This window comes from Homo sapiens, chromosome 9 (genome assembly GCF_000001405.40).
Source record: "Homo sapiens chromosome 9, GRCh38.p14 Primary Assembly".
Classification (NCBI taxonomy): domain Eukaryota; kingdom Metazoa; phylum Chordata; class Mammalia; order Primates; family Hominidae; genus Homo; species Homo sapiens.
The window spans coordinates 6,287,566-6,308,353 of NC_000009.12; the positions used below are offsets into that span (position 1 = coordinate 6,287,566).

The 20,788-nt window shown below is 39.6% G+C and overlaps 1 long non-coding RNA gene across 2 annotated transcripts in view; it reads right to left on the bottom strand.

Moving 5' to 3' along the window:
* The window catches only part of LOC107987046 (uncharacterized), a 100,037-nt gene that overhangs the window by 59,334 nt on the left and 19,915 nt on the right, over positions 1 to 20,788 (bottom strand). For both annotated transcript variants that reach the window (XR_001746614.2, XR_001746613.3), the window contains exon 2: positions 3,393 to 3,476. This is a non-coding gene — a long non-coding RNA (uncharacterized LOC107987046). The remainder of the gene's footprint in view (positions 1 to 3,392; positions 3,477 to 20,788) is intronic.

Sequence of the window (20,788 nt, forward strand, 5' to 3'; positions counted from 1 at the left end):
AAAAAAAAAAAAAAAAGAAGCACAAGGAAGTAACTAATACAGATAAAAGCAGAAATTAATGAGGAAGGGAATAGAAAATTACAGTAGACCTAATTAATAAATTAAAATCTTGGGTTTTTGAAAGAACTAAGAAAATATACAAGCCACCAACTAATGTGATCCAGAAAAAAAAAAAGAAATCACAAATCTGCAAAATAAGAAATGACAAAGGGAAAATAACTACTGAAAGAAGAAATTTTAAAAATTATAAGATACTATTTTGTTGTATACCTCTATGGAAATAAATTTGAAAAACTAGATGGAGTGGATAATTTCCTAGAGAAATACAGATTACCAAATTACAATTAGCTTAAACAAACCACTTTCCATAGAAAAAACATAGAGAAAGTAAGAATTGCTCCTTACACAAAAACTATCAAGCCCACATGGTTTTCCAGGGAAGGCTTGGTAAGCCTTCAAAGAGCAGATAGTCCCAGTGCTCTATAAATTGTTCCAGAGCATTAAAAAACAAGCAAAACATCCCAATTCCCTTTATAAAGCAAGTGGCACTGGTACCTAAACCTGAAGTACATCATATATACCTAAAATCCATATCTATCTATCCTAGAACCGATGTTTTATTTAACTGGGAAAGACAGGAAGCATTTCCATTAAGATCAGAAAAGAGACCAGCATGCCTGCTATCTCGATTACTATTCGATACTTAATTAGGGATACTGGTCAATGCAGTTAGACAAGAGAAATTACTTAGGAGCATAAGAATGGATAAAGAAGAAGTAAAAATATTTCTACATTCCAGTGAAAGACAGTATCCCTGGATGACCCTAAAGTATAAGAAAACTAACTTAAACATTTAAAAATATAATAAGGTAGCAGAATATAAAATTAACATACAAAAATCAACAGCCTTCATATACACAAACAACCAGTTAGACAAATACTACTTGTGACGACAACAAAGAAAACTAAATATTTAATAAGCTTAGCGTGAGATGTGTGAAAACTATGTGTGGAGAATTTTTTAAATACTTTCAAAAGGCACCAAAGTAGACTTGAACAAATAGACATTGCCTGTCCTTGGATAATAAACTAAATATTAAATTGTCAGTTCTTCCTAGTTTAATTTAAAAGTTCAATAAAATCTCAATAAAAATAACAGTAAGCATTTTTATGGTATCAGACAAGTTAAAACTACAACTTAGCCAGGCGTGGTGGCTCACACATGTAATCCCAGCATTTTGGGAGGCCAAGGCAGGCGGATCACCTGAGGTCAGGAGTTCAGGACCAGCCTGGCCAACATAGTAAGACCTCGTCTCTACTAAAAATACAAAAATTAGCCAGACATGGGCTGGGCGTGGTGGCTCATGCCTGTAATCCCAGCACTTTGGGAGGCCAAGGCAGGTGGATCACAAGGTTCAGAGATCGAGACCATCCTGGCTAACTTGGTGAAACCCCATCTCTATTAAAAATACAAAAAAAAAAAAATTAGCTGGGCGTGGTGGCAGGTGCCTGTAGTCCCAGCTACTCGGGAGGCTGAGGCAGGAGAATGGCGTGAACCCAGGAGGCAGAGCTTGCAGTAAGCCAAGATCGCGCCATTGCACTCCAGCCTGAGTGACAGAGTGAGACTCCATCTCAAAAAAAAAAAAAAAAAAAAAAAAAAATTAGCCAGGCATGGTGGCATACACCTGTAGTCCCAGCTACTCAGAAGGCTGAGGCATGAGAATCTCTTGAACCTGGGAGACAGAGGTTGCAGTAAGCCGAGATCATGCCACTGCACTCCAGCCTGGGTGAGAGAGCAAGACTCCTTCTCAAAAAAAAAAAAAAAAAAAGCTACAACTTATATGGAAAAACAAATATAAAAAATTAGCCAGAAGAATGCAAAAAACAAAAAGCAAAAGAGAGCAAGTAAATAATAATAAGAGAGCAGATGCTATAACACACTATGAAGTCTCTATAACAAAAATAGTGTGGTTCTGGCACATGAATATACAAATAAACCAATTGAATACGATAGAAAGCTCAGAACAGACTTGAGGGCATTTGGAAATTCAGATCTGATAAAGCTGACACCTCAAATCATTAAGGCAAAGATGGGCTTTTTAATAGTTATCCTGGGAGAACTAAGTAACCATTAGAAAAAGATAAAATTAGATTCATATCTCACATGACATACAAGAATAAACTCCAAATGGATTAGGAAACTAGACATAAAATATTAAAGCCAGTTGAAACTTAAGTCCCCACAAAAACCTGCACAAATGTTTACAGCAGCTTTATTCATAATTGCCAAAACTTGAAAGCAACCAAGAAGCCCTTCAGTAGATGAACAGGTATATACACTTTGGTACATCCAGACAATAGAATATTATTCAGAACTAAAAGGAAAGCAGCTATCATGCCACAAAAAGATGTGGAAGCAACTTAAATGCATATTACTAAGTAAAAAGCCAATCTGGGCTGGGTGCGGTGGTTCACGTCTGTAATCCCAGCACTTTGGGAGGCCGAGGCGGGTGGATCGCTTGAGGTCAGGAGTTCAAGACCAGCCTGGCCAACATGGTGAAACCCTGTCTCTACTAAAAATACAAAAAAATTACCTGGGCATGGTAACAGGCACCTGTAATCCCAGCTACTACAGAGTCTGAGGCAGGAGAATCGCTTGAACCCAAGAGGCAGAGGTTGCAGTGAGCCAAGATCATGCCATTGCACTTCAGCCTGGGTGACAGAGCGAGAGTCCATCTCAAAAAAAAAAAAAAGAAAAGAAAAGAAAAGAAAGAAAGAGAGAGAGAGAAAGCAAGAAAAAAGCAGCAGCCAATCTCAAAAGGCTATATACCATATGATTCCAACCATATGACATTCTGGAAAAGGCAAAACTATGGAGACAGTAAAAAAAAAAGATTAGTCACTAATTTTTTTTAAAAAGTATACACACACACACACACACACACACACACACACACACACACACGAGTATCCTGATCATCTTCACTACCTCTCTACTCTGGTTGAATACCTCTCCTGTATACTGCCTGGCAATATGCTTCCTTTACTCTTCTTAGATGGTATTATAATTGTTTACTTCTCTGTGAGAACAGGCATCACACCAGTCATGTTCACCATTTTAGCCCTAGCTCCAGCAGAATGTAAGAATATGGTAGGTACTCAAAAATTATCTGTTGAATGAACACAGTAATAAGTGAACAAAATAAATCTATCCTCACTCCAGCTGATGACTGTATAGCAACAATTCCTCAAACCATTCTTTTCTGGAAGGGTCTGATTTAAGTCTATGTTGGAAAAACATAGCCAAGTTCCAATTAGAAAAGTTTTCCTGAAGGTCAGACTGACCCCAGAGTGAGCAGCTAATTTTCTAGTGGCCTGTGGGTCAATCGTACCTTTTATTACTTTTCCAAACATACGAAGGAAGCATTAAACAGCTTGGCTGAGTTTCATCTGTGAAAATGGTCCAGCTCTGGCCCCTGGAATAAAGTAGAACAGAGCCCCAGTTTAACATTCAGATCACTGCTGCTATTTTCCTTCTTTACCTTTAAGAGTTTCTGAATCCCATCCACCCTGAGCAGGAACTGTTACACTACATATAACTATAGTTGGAATGTTCTTTTTTGTTTTTGTTTTTGTTTTTGTTTTCACTTTATTTATTCCTTTGAAACAAGTCACTTAATACAGCATTTAGATATTTAAAGTTATATACCTCATAAATAAAATCAATGCATCTTGATGACAATGGCAAAATCACATAAGAGTTGTAGAAAATGAAGTTAGACATCTTCCAGGTAGCAGCAGTGCATTACTTCAAACAATGCTGGCAAATAGGCAAAACATTTTTAAAACAAGTAAACACTGTCCATCTTCATTAAGAAAAAATATTTTCTTATGCTGTTTTCCCATCCCTACTTTTTCAAGTCATATTCTAAAGCTCTAATTTGACAGTTTTTACTTGTGGTTTTCTTTCTGCGTCAGGAACCTCTGTCTCTACTGCATTAATACAGAAACTATAGGAATATTGTTGTTCTCTAACCCTTTTCACAAGCTATTCATATTCATTCTGTATTTAGGCTGAATTCAAATTTTTTTCAAGGAAAAATACTACTCTGCTAAGTACATATTTCCTGTAAACAGCTGGAGTCCTGAATGGCACCAGTGTGACTGAAAACTGACAAAAATTAGGTCCACTGGTCCTTTAAGTAACTTATGGGCTAATAACATAGGCTATACCAGTTTATAAAGTAGACTCACGTAATCATATTAGAAATTCTGAGCCTAAGATTATCCTTTCTGTTTACCTACAACTTAATCAAATTATATCTTCACTATTCCTAAACTCCTATATGTTGGTTAGTAATTTTAAAAATATAAGTATAAAAGGGCATCATGGCAAAATGCTTATAATTCATGGTTTCATACTTTAATGATAAGCTTTTTCACCTATGGCCATGCTACATTCTATGACAAGAAATGGGGAAGAAGGGTTGAGTTGACACAAAGGCATTGCTTTAAAAATGTTTGGAAAAGCATAATTCATGACTAGGAATGCATCTATTTGACAATCTCTTCTTTATCAGTGGTACTTTGTCCTCTTGGCCCTTTTCTCCCTTCACTCTACCATGAGGGGGTTACCAACCTCCTTTAAATGTATATGAATCAAGACCTAAATCAGCACCCTACACTTCAACATCAATAATAATTTTAAGTCAAATATTCAAAGCACTGTAAGCAAAATGCTAGATAATTTTGAGAAAAATAAACACTCTCCCACAACCAGGGATATTTAATATTCTTTTTATGTTGAATGAAATGTGCTGAAATACTGTAACATAAGAAAACAGCTTTAGTTAATAAACTAGCTTATTAAAATCAAGGGTTTCACTTTGGACTTAAAATGATGCCACTTGTATATGACACTTTTAAGGCCTCTGCCTCAAAAATCAGCTTCCTTATAAGTCTGTTTGGAAACAAGTTTTAAGGATTGAATCTTTTAGAAATTATCAGGAACGTTCTTTTGAGTTCTCAGCAGGCATCTCTCCTGGAGAGGAATCCATTTGAGACAACTTTAAAGCAGCCTCCAACTCAGGTAGAGATCCGAAATTTACACATGTATCCAGGATAGGTGACTGACACTCATGGATGATCCCTGGGTCAGTCTCTGACCTCCAGTCCAACTTATCTTCCTAAAAGTCCCTGTGCATTTTCTTCTGTCCCTTCCTTCTGTGAGGAGTGTTCCTGTAATCAGCTGTCCTGAGGTACCTAGGACCCACAGCTCACATATTTTTAGCATGCTAGGCTAATAAATATGTGTGTTTGAATATTAATTATCTTTTCACATTTTCCTTTGAGCAAAGCAGTACTCTATAATATACTCAAGTGAAATCAGATAAAGGCTTAGTTCGTGGCCAGGCACAGTGGCTCATGCCTGTAATCCCAGCACTTTGGGAGGCCAAGGCAGGTGGATCGCTTGAGGTCAGGAGTTCAAGAGCAGTCTGGCCAACATGGCAAAATCCCATCTCTACTGAAAATACAAAAATTAGCCAGGCATGGTGGCTCATGCCTGTAAGTCTGGCTACTCGGGAGGCTGAGACAGGAGAATCACTTGAACCTGGGAGGTGGAGGCTCCAAGATCATGCCACTGCACTGCAGCCTGGGCAACAGAGTGAGACTCTCTTTAAAAAAAAAAAAAAAAAAAAAAAAAAAAAAAACAGATAAATGCTTAGTTCACCTTTCGGCCCCTCTTTTTTCAATATGACACATTAACATCACAGATGACTTTTCTTGCTTCCCTATTATCCTTGAGGGCCCTTATCTTACAAGGAGACTGTCAGACAGCTCTGGTTAAGGGGGACCAATGAGGCCAAGGTTCCAAATACAAGTCTCAGATGGATCAAACAGCTTCTCTCTACCCCATGGGCACAAACTGCATCTGAACTATTTTTACTCACAATGCTTCTGACACCAAATATGGGGGCGGGGGGGGTGGTGGGTTCTCACACCAACCAGTTCTCCAACTCTCCAGATACCAAATGAGTGTCCCACAATTCACTTCAATTCTGACAATAACTACCCAGAGGTAGTATCAGACTCTACAGGCTTAAGGGTTCAGTACCACAAAACTACCCCCACTTCCAGACACAAGTCACGAGTTCAGGGGTTCACACAACCCCCTCTTCAGGTTCCATAATTTGCTAGAATGCCTCAAAGAACTCAGGAAAACACTTTAGTTGCTCTTACCAGTTTCTTATAAAGGATACAGCTCAGAAACAATCAAAGGCATAGGGCAAGGTATGGGGAAAAGGGTGCAGAGCTTCTACACCCTCTCTGGGAGTGCCACGCTCCCAGCACTTCGATGTGTTCACTAAACTGGAAGCTCTTAGAACCCCATCATTTAGGGGGTTTTATGGAGATTTCATCACATAGGCATGACTGAGGAAATCATTGGCCATTGGTGACTAACTCAATCTCCAGTCCCTCTCCCTTCCCCAGAAGTAGTGGGGAAACTTCCTTTTTTGAACATACAATAACTGTTTTTATTTGTTTTTTGTTTATATTACGTCTCATTTCCTTAATTTTTTTAATTTTTTATTTGAATGGCTTTAGGAGTACAACTGGTTTTGGCTGCACAGATCAATTGTAGAGTGGTGAAGTCTGGGCTTTTAGTGTACACATCACCCCAATAGTATATATTGTACCAAATGGTGATTTTTCATCCCTCGCTTCCCCTATCCTTCCTCTTTCTGAATCTCCAATATCCATTATACCACTCTGTATGCCTAAAAGACACTTTTCATTTTTATATTTTTTGAGATGGAGTCTCGCTCTGTCACCACGCTGGAGTGCAGTGGCGCAATCTTAGCTCACTGCAACCTCTGCCTCCTGAGTTCAAGTGATTCTCCTGCCTCCAAGCGATTCTCCCGCCTTAGCCTCCTCAGTAGCTGGGATTACAGGCGTCCACCATCACACCTGGCTAATTTTTGTATTTTTAGTAGAGACGGAATTTCACCATGTTGGCCAGGATGGTCTCGATCTCTTGACCTCGTGATCCGCCCGCCTCCGCCTCCCAAGGTGCTGGGATTACAGGTGTGAGCCGCCGCGCCTGGCCGATACTCTCAGGACTACAGATATTCTAAGGGTTTTAGAAGCTGTGTGCAAGCAACCCCAAATTTTTTAAATTATTTTACAGCACCCTAACTTCTACCCAATTTTGCTAATTGATCAAACAATTATATTAGCAATAAGCTCTTCCATTATACGTCCTGCTATTTGTAGCCCTCTGATATTGCCATTCTTATTTATTTTATTTACGTATTTATTTATCTTATGACAGGGTCTCACTCTGTTACCCAGGCTGGAGTGCAGTGGCACGATCTCAGCTCACTGAAACCTCTGCCTCCCAGGTTCAAGCGATTCTCTTGCCTTAGCCTCCCGAGTAGCAGGGATTACAGGTACACACCACCACGACTGGCTAATTTTTGTATTTTTAGTAGAAACAGGGTTTCACCATGTTGGCCAGGCTGGTCTCCAACTCCTGACTTCAGGTGATCCACCTGCCTTGGCCTCCCAAAATGCTGGGATTACATTCCGTTGCTTCTTAATCCAATCCATCACTCATGAAATTTCCAAGAATTTGGAGGTCCTTTCCAAGAACCAGGGACAAAGACCAGCCAAATCTCCCATTCCTACTCATATTTTAACCATTCTGAAACAACAAAATCATACTTTTAAATATTTTAATAACAATGAAATCATAATTTTAAAAATTTTAATAACTTGAGAATCTGCTGGGAGGTGAAGCCAAGATGGCCGAATAGGAACAGCTCCAGTCTACAGCTCCCAGCGTGAGCGACGCAGAAGACGGGTGATTTCTGCATTTCCAACTGAGGTACTGGGTTCATCTCACTGGGGAGTGCCGGAAAGTGGGTGCAGGACAGTGGGTGCAGTGCACCATGCGTGAGCCGAAGCAGGGTGAGGCATCACCTCACCTGCGAAGCACAAGGGGTCAGGGAATTCCCTTTCCTAGTCAAAGAAAGGGGTGACAGACATCACCTGGAAAATCGGGTCACTCCCACCCTAATACTGCGCTTTTCCAAAGGGCTTAACAAACGGCACACCAGGAGATTATATCCCACACCTGGCTCACAGGTTCCTATGCCCATGGAGCCTCACTCATTGCTAGCACAGCAGGCTGAGATAAAACTGCAAGGTGGTAATGAGGCTGGGGGAGGGGCGCCTGCCATTACCCAGGCTTCAGTAGGTAAACAAAGTGGCCAGGAAGCTCGAACTGGGTGGAGCCCACCACAGCTCAAGGAGGCCTGCCTGCCTCTGTAGGATCCACCTCTGGAGCAGGGAACAGACAAACAAAAGGCAGCAGTAACCTCTGCAGACTTAAATGTCCCTGTCTGACAGCTTTGAAGAGAGTAGTGGTTCTCCTAGCACGCAGCTTGAGATCTGAGAACAGGCAGACTGCCTCCTCAAGTGGATCCCTGACCCCCGAGTAGCCTAACTGGGAGGCATCCCCCAGTAGGGGCAGACTGACACCTCACATGGCCGGGTACTCCTCTGAGACAAAACTTCCAGAGCAACCAACGATCAGGCAGCAGCATTTGAGGTTCACCAATATCCACTGTTCTGCAGCCACCGCTGCTCAAACCCAGGCAAACAGGGTCTGGAGTGGACCTCCAGCAAAATCCAACAGACCTGCAGCTGAAGGTCCTGACTGTTAGAAGGAAAACTAACAAACAGAAAGGACATCCACACCAAAAACCCATCTGTATGTCACCATCATCAAAGACCAAAGGTAGATAAAACCACAAAGATGGGGAAAAAACAGAGCAGAAAAACTGGAAACTCTAAAAATCAGAGTGCCTCTCCTCCTCCAAAGGAACGCAGCTCCTCACCAGCAATGCAACAAAGCTGGATGGAGAATGACTTTGATGAGTTGAGAGAAGAAGGCTTCAGAAGATCAAACTACTCCGAGCTAAAGGAGGAAGTTCGAACCAATGGCAAAGAAGTTAAAAACCTTGAAAAAAAATTAGACGAATGGCTGACTAGAATAACCAATGCAGAGAAGTCCTTAAAGGACCTGATGGAGCTGAAAACCATGGCACAAGAACTACGTGACCAATGCACAAGCCTCAGTAGCCGATGCGATCAACTGGAAGAAAGGGTATCAGTGATGGAAGACGAAATGAATGAAATGAAGTGACAAGAGAAGTTTATAGAAAAAATAATAAAAAGAAACGAACAAAGCCTCCAAGAAATATGGGACTATGTGGAAAGACCAAATCGATGTCTAACTGGTGTACCTGAAAGTGACAGGGAGAATGGAACCAAGTTGGAAAACACTCTGCAGGATATTATCCAGGAGAACTTCCCCAATCTAGCAAGGCAGGCCAACATTCAAATTCAGGAAATACAGAGAATGCCAACAAGATACTCCTTGAGAAGAGCAACTCCAAGACACATAATTGTCGGATCCACCAAAGTTGAAATGAAGGAAAAAATGTTAAGGGCGGCCTGAGAGAAAGGTCGGGTTACCCACAAAGGGAAGCCCATCAGACTAACAGCGGATCTCTCGGCAGAAACTCTACAAGCCAGAAGAGAGTGGGGGCCAATATTCAACATTCTTAAAGAAAAGAATTTTCAACCCAGAATTTCATATCCAGCCAAACTAAGCTTCATAAGTGAAGGAGAAATAAAATCCTTTACAGACAAGCAAATACTGAGAGATTTTGTCACCACAAGGCCTGCCCTAAAAGAGCTCCTGAAGGAAGCACTAAACATGGAAAGGAACAACTGGTACCAGCCATTGCAAAAACATACCAAATTGTAAAGACCATCGAGGCTAGGAAGAAACTGCATCAACTAACGAGCAAAATAACCAGCTAACATCATAATGACAGGATAAGATTCACACATAACAATATTAACCTTAAATGTAAATGGGCTAAATGCTCCAATTAAAAGACACAGACTGGCAAATGGGATAAAGAGTCAAGACCCATCAGTGTGCTGTATTCAGGAGACCCATCTCACATGCAGAGACACACATAGGCTCAAAATAAAGGGAGGGTGGAAGATCTACCAAACAAATGCAAAACAAAAAAAGGCAGGGATTGCAATCCTAGTCTCTGATAAAACATATTTTAAACCGACAAAGATGAGAAGAGACAAAGGAGGCCATTACATAATGGTAAAGGGATCAATTCAACAAGAAGAGCTAACTATCCTAAATATATATGCACCCAATATGGGAGCACCCAGATTCATAAAGCAAGTCCTTAGTGACCTACAAAGAGACTTAGACTCCCACACAATAATAATGGGAGACTTTAACACCCCACTGTCAACATTAGACAGATCAACGAGACAGAAAGTTAACAAGGATATCCAGGAATTGAACTCAGCTCTGCACCAAGCGGACCTAATAGACATCTACAGAACTCTCCTCCCCAAATCAACAGAATATACATTCTTTTCAGCACCACACCACACCTATTCCAAAATTGACCACATAGCTGGAAGTAAAGCACTCCTCAGCAAATGTAAAAGAACAGAAATTATAACAAACTGTCTCTCAGACCACAGTGCAATCAAACTAGAACTCAGGATTAAGAATCTCACTCAAAACCACTCAACTACATGGACACTGAACAACCTGCTCCTGAATGACTACTGAGTACATAAAAAAATAAAGGCAGAAATAAAGATGTTCTTTGAAACCAATGAGAACAAAGACACAACATACCAGAATCTCCGGGACACATTCAAAGCAGTGTGTAGAGGGAAATTTACAGCACTAAATGCCCACAAGAGAAAGCAGGAAAGATCCAAAATTGACACCCTAACATCACAATTAAAAGAACCAGAGAAGCAAGAGCAAACACATTCAAAAGCTAGCAGAAGGCAAGAAATAACTAAGATCAGAGCAGAACTGAAGGAGATAGAGACACAAAAAACCCTTCAAAAAATCCATGAATCCAGGAGCTGGTTTTTTGAATGGATCAACAAAATTGATAGACTGCTAGCAAGACTAATAAAGAAGAAAAGAGAGAAGAATCAAATAGACACAATAAAAAATGATAAAGGGGATATCACCACTGATCGCACAGAAATACAAACTACCATCAGAGAATACTATAAACACCTCTACGCAAATAAACTAGAAAATCTAGAAGAAATGGATAAATTCCTCGACACAAACACCCTCCCAACACTAAACCAGGAAGAAGTTGAATCTCTGAATAGACCAATAACAGGCTCCGAAATTGAGGCAATAATTAATAGTTTACCAACCAAAAAAAGTCCAGGACCAGATGGATTCACAGCCGAATTCTACCAGAAGTACAAGGAGGAGCTGGTACCATTCCTTCTGAAACTATTCCAATCAATAGAAAAAGAGGGAATCCTCCCTAACTCATTTTATGAAGCCAGCATCATTCTGATACCAAAGCCTGGCAGAGACACAACAAAAAAAGAGAATTTTAGACCAATATCCTTGATGAACATTGATGCAAAAATCCTCAGTAATATACTGGCAAACCAAATCCAGCAGCACATCAAAAAGCTTATCCACCATGATCAAGTGGGCTTCATCCCTGGGATGCAAGGCTGGTTCAACATATGAAAATCAACAAACATAATCCAGCATATAAACAGAACCAAAGACAAAAACCACACGATTATCTCAATAGATGCAGAAAAGGCCTTTGACAAAATTCAACAACACTTCATGCTAAAAACTCTCAATAAATTAGGTATTGATGGGACGTATCTCAAAATAATAAGCGTTATCTATGACAAACCCACAACCAATATCATACTGAATGGACAAAAACTGGAAGCATTCCCTTTGAAAACTGGCACAAGACAGGGATGCCCTCTCTCACCACTCCTATTCAACATAGTGTTGGAAATTCTGGCCAAGGCAATCAGGCAGGAGAAGGAAATAAAGAGCATTCAATTAGGAAAAGAGGAAGTCAAATTGTCCCTGTTTGTAGATGACATGATTGTATGTTTAGAAAACCCCATCGTCTCAGCCCAAAATCTCCTTAAGCTGATAAGCAACTTCAGTAAAGTCTCAGGATACAAAATCAATGTGCAAAAATCGCAAGCATTCTTATACACCAATAACAGACAAACACAGAGCCAAATCATGAGTGAACTCCCATTCACAATTGCTTCAAAGAGAATAAAATACCTTGGAATACAACTTATAAGGGATGTGAAGGACCTCTTCGAGGAGAACTACAAACCACTACTCAATGAAATAAAAGAGGATACAAACAAATGGAACAACATTCCATGCTCATGGGTAGGAAGAATCAATATCATGAAAATGGCCATACTGCCCAAGGTAATTTATTGATTCAATGCCATCTCCATCAAGCTACCAATGACTTTCTTCACAGAATTGGAAAAAACTTCTTTAAAGTTCATATGGGACCAAAAAAGATCCCACATTGCCAAGACAATCCTAAGCCAAAAGAACAAAGCTGGAGGCATCATGCTACCTGACTTCAAACTATACTACAAGGCTACAGTAACCAAAACAGCATGGTACTGGTACCAAAAGAGAGATATAGACCAATGGAACACAACAGAGTCCTCAGAAATAATGCTGCATATCTACAACTATCTGATCTTTGACAAACCTGACAAAAACAAGAAATGAGGAAAGGATTCCCTATTTCATAAATGGTGCTGGGAAAACTGGCTAGCCATATGTAGAAAGCTGAAACTGGATCCCTTCCTTACACCTTATACAAAAATTAATTCAAGATGGATTAAAGACTTACATGTTAGACCTAAAACCATAAAAACTGTAGAAGAAAACCTAGGCAATACCATTCAGGACGTAGGCATGGGCAAGGACTTCATGTCTAAAACACCAAAAGCAATGGGAACAAAAGCCAAAATTGACAAAGGGGATCTAATTAAACTAAAGCTTCTGCACAGCAAAAGAAACTACCATCAGAGTGAACAGGCAACCTACAGAATGGGAGAAAATTTTTGCAACCTACTCATCTGACAAAGGGCTAATATTCAGAATCTACAATGAACTTTAACAAATTTACAAGAAAAAAACAAACAACCACATCAAAAAGTGGGCAAAGGATATGAACAGACACTTCTCAAAAGAAGACATTTATGCAGCCAATAGACACATGAAAAAATGCTCATCATCACTGGCCATCAGAGAAATGCAAATCAAAACCACAATGAGATACCATCTCACACCAGTTAGAATGGTGAACATTAAAAAGTCAGGAAACAACAGATGCTGTAGAAGCTGTGGAGAAATAGGAGCGCTTTTACACTGTTGGTGGGACTGTAAACTAGTTCAACCATTGTGGAAGTCAGTGTGGCGATTCCTCAGGGATCTAGAACTAGAAATACCATTTGACCCAGCCATCCCATTACTGGGTATATACCCAAAGGATTATAAATCATGCTGCTATAAAGACACATGCACATGTATGTTTATTGCGGCACTATTCACAATAGCAAAGACTTGGAACCAACCCAAATGTCCAACAATGGTAGACTGGATTAAGAAAATGTGGCACATATACACCACGGAATACGTGTATACCATGAATATGCAGCCATAAAAAATGATGAGTTCATGTCCTTTGTAGGGACATGGATGAAGCTGGAAACCATCATTCTCAGCAAACTATCACAAGGACAAAAAACTAAACACCGCATGTTCTCACTCATAGGTGGGAATTGAACAATGAGAACACATGAACACAGGAAGGGGAACATCACACACTGGGGACTGGTGTGGGGTGAGGGGATGGGGGAGGGATAGCATTAGGAGATATACCTAATGCTAAATGATGAGTTGATGGGTGCAGCACACCAACATGGCACATGTATACATATGTAACAAACCTGCACGCTGTGCACATGTACCCTAGAACTTAAAGTATAATAATAATAAAATTAAAAAAAGAAAAAAAGAATCTGCTGCTCGGCATCCCAAAGCACAATGGTTTAGAAGCCAAGTGTGTCTGACCCCTCCAGTATTTGACTGTTTGCTTGGGGTTTATTGTTTTGCATAATACAACAACCTAAAATGTCTCCAATATTTTCTTTCTTTAGAATATGAAACATGACTCTCCTCCCCTTCCCCGTCTCCCTGTTTCCCCCTAGAGTTTTCTTTCTTTCTTTTAAAAAACATAGAAATATAGCTTCTATCTGGAGCATAAATAAAGACGAGTAAGATTCAATTCTTTTAACGATGTGGATAAAATTAGGTTTTCTTAAGGGCACTCTTAAATATGTGAGCTACATGGAGAAAATATTCACCCTGACACTGCTGCCTTCACTAGAAAAGCTGTTATAATTTGATGGATGGTAAATGAACAATTCCTACAACTGCTGCTCTATTCATTAATTACTGAAGTAGGCTCAGCTATGAGAGAAAGGTAGTCCTCTCAGGCATTAGCCTGCTACCATTGCAGAAACAACTGACCACACCCTCCACGTGGCCTTTGTGTTCTCATTTTACCAGGGTGTAAGTCAGCTTCAAAAGGAAGATGGAGTACGTATGCAAGTTAGAGACTGACAAACTGATCTCAAAGTCAGTCTTGAAATTGCCTTTAAAAATCTTTTCATGTATACTCCCACTCTAGACTTGCCAAAATGCAGAGATTCAATTCAGCAAATTATTCCTCTTTTATAGCCAGTTGTTGACGCTGTACTCTTTATCCCTAAATGCTTGTGAATTATTTTTAAAGTGGAAGGAAAAAGAAGGAACATAATAAACCATGTTAACATTTCTTGAGTTTAAGAAACAATTTATTTTGAATTTTCCTGTTAGATGAAATGGCAGACACTGTTCATGAACTATATAACAGTTGGGATAGTCATAACATCCTTCCTCCTTGTTCATGAACAGGGAGGCTTATACCTGTCAATAAACATTTGAGTTGGTTTCCATTTCTTGCTATTACAAACTGCACTGCTATGAACATTCCTGCACTTCCTTCACATGTCTCTCAGTGCAAATGTGCAAGTGTTTCTCTAGGGGGTGGGACTGCTGAATCATGGTTGGTATAAGCATTTTTATGCCACATTTTTTTCAAAGTGGTTATACCAGTTTATATGCTCACTCAAAGTATATGTGTTCCTCTTGCTTCATCTTCTCACCAACACTATTTATTGTTAGATTTAATTTTTGCCAGTCTCATGGGTGGGGTAACATGGTATTATGTTATGGTTTTAATTTGCATTTCCTTAATTACTAATGAGGTAGAATATTTTAATAGGTTAATTGGCTATTCTGCTTTCCTCTACTATGAAATGCCTATTCAAGGTTTTGCCCATTTTCTATTGACTCTTAGAAAAAGATATATAAAAGTTATGTGTATATCCTGGGTACTGACCTTTTGTCAGTTACATCAACTGTAAATGTCTTTTCCCAGTTTGTGCCTGTGTTTTCATTCTCTTTGCTGTATTTTGGTAAATAAAAATTCTTAATAGAGTTGAATTTATGAATCTTTTCCTTTATGGTTTGTCCTTTTTTCTCTTATTTAAGAAATTCTCTCCTACTTCAAGTCATTAAGACATTTTTCTATATCATTGCTAACAATTTCATAATTTTGTCTTTCACATTTAAATCTTAATGTACCTACAAGGGGTGCAGTGGCTCACGTCTGTAATACCATCACTTCAGGAGGCTGAGGCAGGTGGATCACTTGAGGTCAGGAGTTTGAGACCAGCCTGGCCAACATGGTGAAACCCCATCTCTACTAAAAATACAAAAGTTAGCCAGGCGTGGTGGCAGGTGCCTGTAATTCCAGCTACTCGGGAGGCTGAGGCAGGAGAATCGCTTGAACCCAGGAGGCAGAGGTTACAGTGAGCTGAGAGTGCGCCACTTCACTCTAGCCTGGGCAACAGAACAAGACTCAGTCTCAAAAAATGTTTTTTAATTAAAAAAATAAATCAATGCACCTAGAATTCATTTTTATCACATGGATGGATAGTCAACTTCCTTGGCATCATTTATTCAAACATCTACTCTTTCTCCACTGATTTGCTTTAAGTTTCCATATATGCAAAGATCTATTTCTTACTCTCTATTCTATTCCATTAATCTATTTGTCTATCTTTGAACACGTAGCTTTATAAATCCTAATACCCAGGATTCCAGTATAGCAAGCCTCCCAACCTGTATTTCTTCAAAAATGGCTTGTCCATTCTTGATATTTTGCATTTACATATGAATTTTAAAATTAGCTCTTAGGGCTTAAATACACAATTGAGACTTTGATCAGAATTGCATTGAATTTCATGCTCCTGTGACACTAGCATGAGTCCTTCCCCCAGTTCTACAATTAAGACTCCTAACAATTCATTTATCCAGCCAAAAAAATACTTACAAGAGCCTAGGATATGGCAAAAATTATAGTGAACAACATGGATACAACGGTGCAGAAAACAGAATTAGTCCCTGCATTTGTCAAGGCTTCAGAGAAGTGGAAGTTGTGGGAGAGGGACAGAGGGAAGAATAGTAGTGTACTAATTATTTTTCCATTTGTTTTCATTCCATTTTTCATTTGTAAGGTAGGTTAATCATTTTGAAGTCCCCTAGCTTACCTAACCTTTTACTTTGTGTACTAGTCAGGGGTCTCCAGAGAAACAGAACCAACAAGATGTGATAGAGAGAAAGGGAGGGTTATTTTAAGAAATTGGCTCATGTGATTATGGAGGCTTAGTGAGTCCAAAATTGGATGAGATAGACTAGCAGGCTGGAGACTTAGGTAAGAATTGCAATTAGAGACCAAAGGCAGTCTGCTGGCAGAGTTCCTTCTTGCTCAATCAGTCTTTGTTCTATTAGAGCCTTCAACTGATTGGATGAGGCCCACCCCCATTATGGAGGGCAATTTGCTTAACTCAAACTCCACCAATTTAAATGTTAATCTTATTGAAAAACACCCTCACAGAAACATCTAGAATAATATTTGACCAAATATCTGGGCTTTGTGGCCCAGCCAAATTGACACATAAATTTAACCATCTTTTTTTTTTTTTTTTTTAGACAAAGTCTTGCTCTGTTCCTAGCCTGGAGAGCAGTAGCACACTCATGACTCACTGCAGCCTTGACCTCCCAGGCTCAAGCAATCCTCCCTCCTCAGTCTCCCTAGTAGCTGGGACTACAGACATGCACCACCATGCCTGGCTAATTTTTGTATTTTTTGTAGAGACAGGGTTTCACTATGTTGCCGAGGCTGGTCTTGAACTCCTGAGCTCAAGGGATCCACCTGCCTTGGCTTCCCAAAGTGCTGGGATTACAGGCATGAGCCACTGCGCCTGGCCAAACTATCACATGTTTTATCCTTTCCTCTTTCCTATGTCCTTGAATCCACTTTTCTTTCTTGTACAAAAGGAGAACTTGAGTAGGAGGAGGGAAAAAGGGATAAAAGGAGTATGTGTCAAGGACAACCCATCTGACTCCTTCTTTTTCTTCAGGTTTAAGCTGTGAAGAAGGGTTCAACTCTTCAGCCTACCTGACTGACGCTGAAGCCCCTGCAAGTAGCATTGTGTTCATATTCGCCTCCCTCAAAAGCTCCTAGTACATGCATAGTTTATGCTGCCAACCTTGCTATAACTAAAGAAAACAAATCTTATAAAGTAGAGTGTTTCTTAGGAGATGATAAATATAAAGTTGTTTGGAGTTTTTGTTTGCTTATTTCAAATCTGAAAGGGCCCACATAGATTTTCTATACTAAAAGAAATTTAGTTTTCAACCTGGAATAATAGAAATAATAGAAACTAATTATTTAAAGTCGTATAAAATCAGAATCTGGAAAAGAAAAATTTGTTGAACACAAAACAAGAGGGCTCTTTGGGGGATATTGGGAACATATGTGTTTGTTTGTTTTTATTTTTATTTATTTAGTTATTTTTTATTTTGAGACAGAGTCTTGCTCTGTCACCCAGGCTGGAGTGCAGTGGTGCAATCTTGGCTCACTGCAACCTCCGCCTCCTGGGTTAAAGAGATTCTCCTGCCTCAGCCTCCCAAGTAGCTAGGATTACAGGCACTTGCCACCATGCCCAGCTCATTTTTGTATTTTTAGTAGAGACAGGGTTTCATCATGTTGGCCAGGCTAGTCTCAAACTCCTGACCTCAGGTGACCCACCTGTCTTGGCCTCCCAAAGTGCTGGGATTACAAGTGTGAGCCACTGCACCCAGCCTGTTTGTTTTTAATTTTTTGTAGAGACAGGGATCTCCCTATTCTTGCCCAAGTTGGTCTTGAGCTCCTGGACTCAAGTGATCCTCCTGCCTCGGCCTCTTAAAGTGCTGGGATTACAGGTGTGAGCCACTGCACTAAGACTTAAGTTTGTTTTTCTAAATCTCTCTTTCACACAAATGAAAAAAAGATATACCAAATAACAAAATGTATCCTGCTTGTAAAATAATGTAAAACAGTTTCTTCAAGATGGGCATAAAGCTCAACTTATACATAGAGAATAGCAGTCTACAGCATTATAAGATAAATGTGCAATACACAAACCAGAATTCACCTTGGCTCAATTGAACAGTCCACCATCAGAAGAGTTTACACTACCATCTAGTGGTTCATTTAGTGAAAAGACATTTGTACTCTTCAAAATGTTTCAGCTAGATAGGCAATCTAGTAGATACAAATAAACCACTTTGTCCTGAGAAAAAACAGGCTAAGATCAACAAAACAAACACTTAGATATATGGTAGACCATGGTGGACAGGCTATTGGACTAAAAGCCTCAGATGTGACTTCTAGCTCTGAGATCTACTATTCACAGCTGTGTGACTTTTGGACACGTCATTTTACCTCTCGAAGCTTGTTTCTTATTTGTTAAATGAAGTGACTGCACTAGACTGGTGTTTCTGAAGTAGTAAATTATAACATACTAGCTAAAATCAATATAATAGATCATGACCAGATTTTTTTTTAATTTAAACAGAACAAAAAAATCAGAGTACATCCCTTACTATGGGTCACAGCTAAAAGAGTTGGAAAGCCTCTATGGTTCCTATCAGCTCTAAAACTCCATGTTCCTATGAATTGTGGACATCAGTTCTGCCTCAGAGTGCTGATACAGAGTTTATAGCTGCCTAATTTATAGTTACACATAACCTAGAACTGTCTGCTCACTGACCAGGGGTGATATCTTTTATTTCTCTCCTATAACTCAAAAAGACTCCAATCAAAATAGATGGAAATATTTTCCTGGCTGTGATTATATGTTTTTTCTTTTCCTACAGAGACTACCACCAGTCTTTCTAATGCAATGTTTCTCAAATCATGGTCCAGGGACCAACTGCCTCAGATTCACTTGGGGTGCTTCTTTAAAATACATATCCTTGCCTCCCCTCTCCCACTACCAGACCTATCAAATTAGGATCTCTAAGCACACAGCCTAGTGATCTGCACTGTTTTCAAGTACCCTAGCTGATTCTTATGTACCCAAAACCTTGTGAAATTTGAGTTTGAGCTCTTGGCAGGTAATATTGTTGATCCATCTCCATCTTAACATCCTCTCTGCTATCTCTGTCCTTTCTCTACTCTTTACTTCTAAAAGAATATACTTGCACGTTGCTAGCTCAGAAGAACAGATCTCTAGTATCTAAGGGAGAATTACGCCAGCTGAAGTGCCAGTAATTTCCAGGTCTAAGATCTACAGCAGCTAATATATTATCTGAAATAAAATATGATTTTTAACACATTAAGCTATACTGAACAGACAGCAGGTAGCCATTGTTCCTTTCCACATAATCATGCTTGATACTTATAAACAAAGCCCAAATACTTTTTCTCCCAAATTTCTTAATACTTTTGAGTATTTGTGGTCTTTATCCTTGCTACTCAAAGTGTAGTCCATATACCAGCAGCAGCAGCATTGCCTGGGAGATTGTTAGAAATAGACTCTCAAATTCTACCCCAGAATTGGAATCATCTGCATTTCAACAAAATTCTCACAGGTGAGTTGTATGTACTTTAAACTTTAAGAAGCACTGCTCTATAAATAGTGGGCATGAAATAGTCAATCAGTAAATGCAAAGCAGCTGCAGCCAGGATTTCTTTCTTTTTCTTAAAAAAAAAAAAAAGAAAGAAAAAGCCTGTTGTCCAGGCTGGAATGGAGTGGTGCAATCCTGGCTCACTGCAATCTTGACCTCCCAAGTTCAAGCAATCCTCCCTCAGCCTTCCAAAGTGCTGGGAGTACAGGTGTGAGCCACTACGCCTACTCAATAGTCTTTTAAAACCTGGAATCTGTTCTCTTTCTTTTCAAGAAAGTAAGGGCCCTAACACCCCTTCTGCCTATGTAGGAAAGCTAAGAGCAAACCACAGGAGGGGAAGTCAAGAGGGGGAGGGAGAAGACCACAAATCTCCATATAGTTGTTGAAGGTTCTGAATTAAATGAAGTGATTGCAGGTGGAGATACAGAAATGGTTGTTATCACTATGAAGTCCCTGATATAAGAAAACAAGCAAGTCAACCCTAAAATAAACAGAGACATAAAAAGACCAACTTAAATCTGGTAGCATGCTAAAACAAGACTATAGTAATGCTTCTCTAACTTGGCAATTGCAGCAAAGATTCCATTAGCTACCTACAGTCACCAAGGCAGATATTATTGTTTCCTGAATGTTCACCTGTTACATAACTTCTGTCACTGATGTCACAGTATTTCAGGGAAACTAAGTCTGTTTGGGGGAAACTGCCTGGACAGAAATAACACAATTTTAAGATTTGAGGCCTAAGGGGTTGATGTTTTTGGTGCTAAT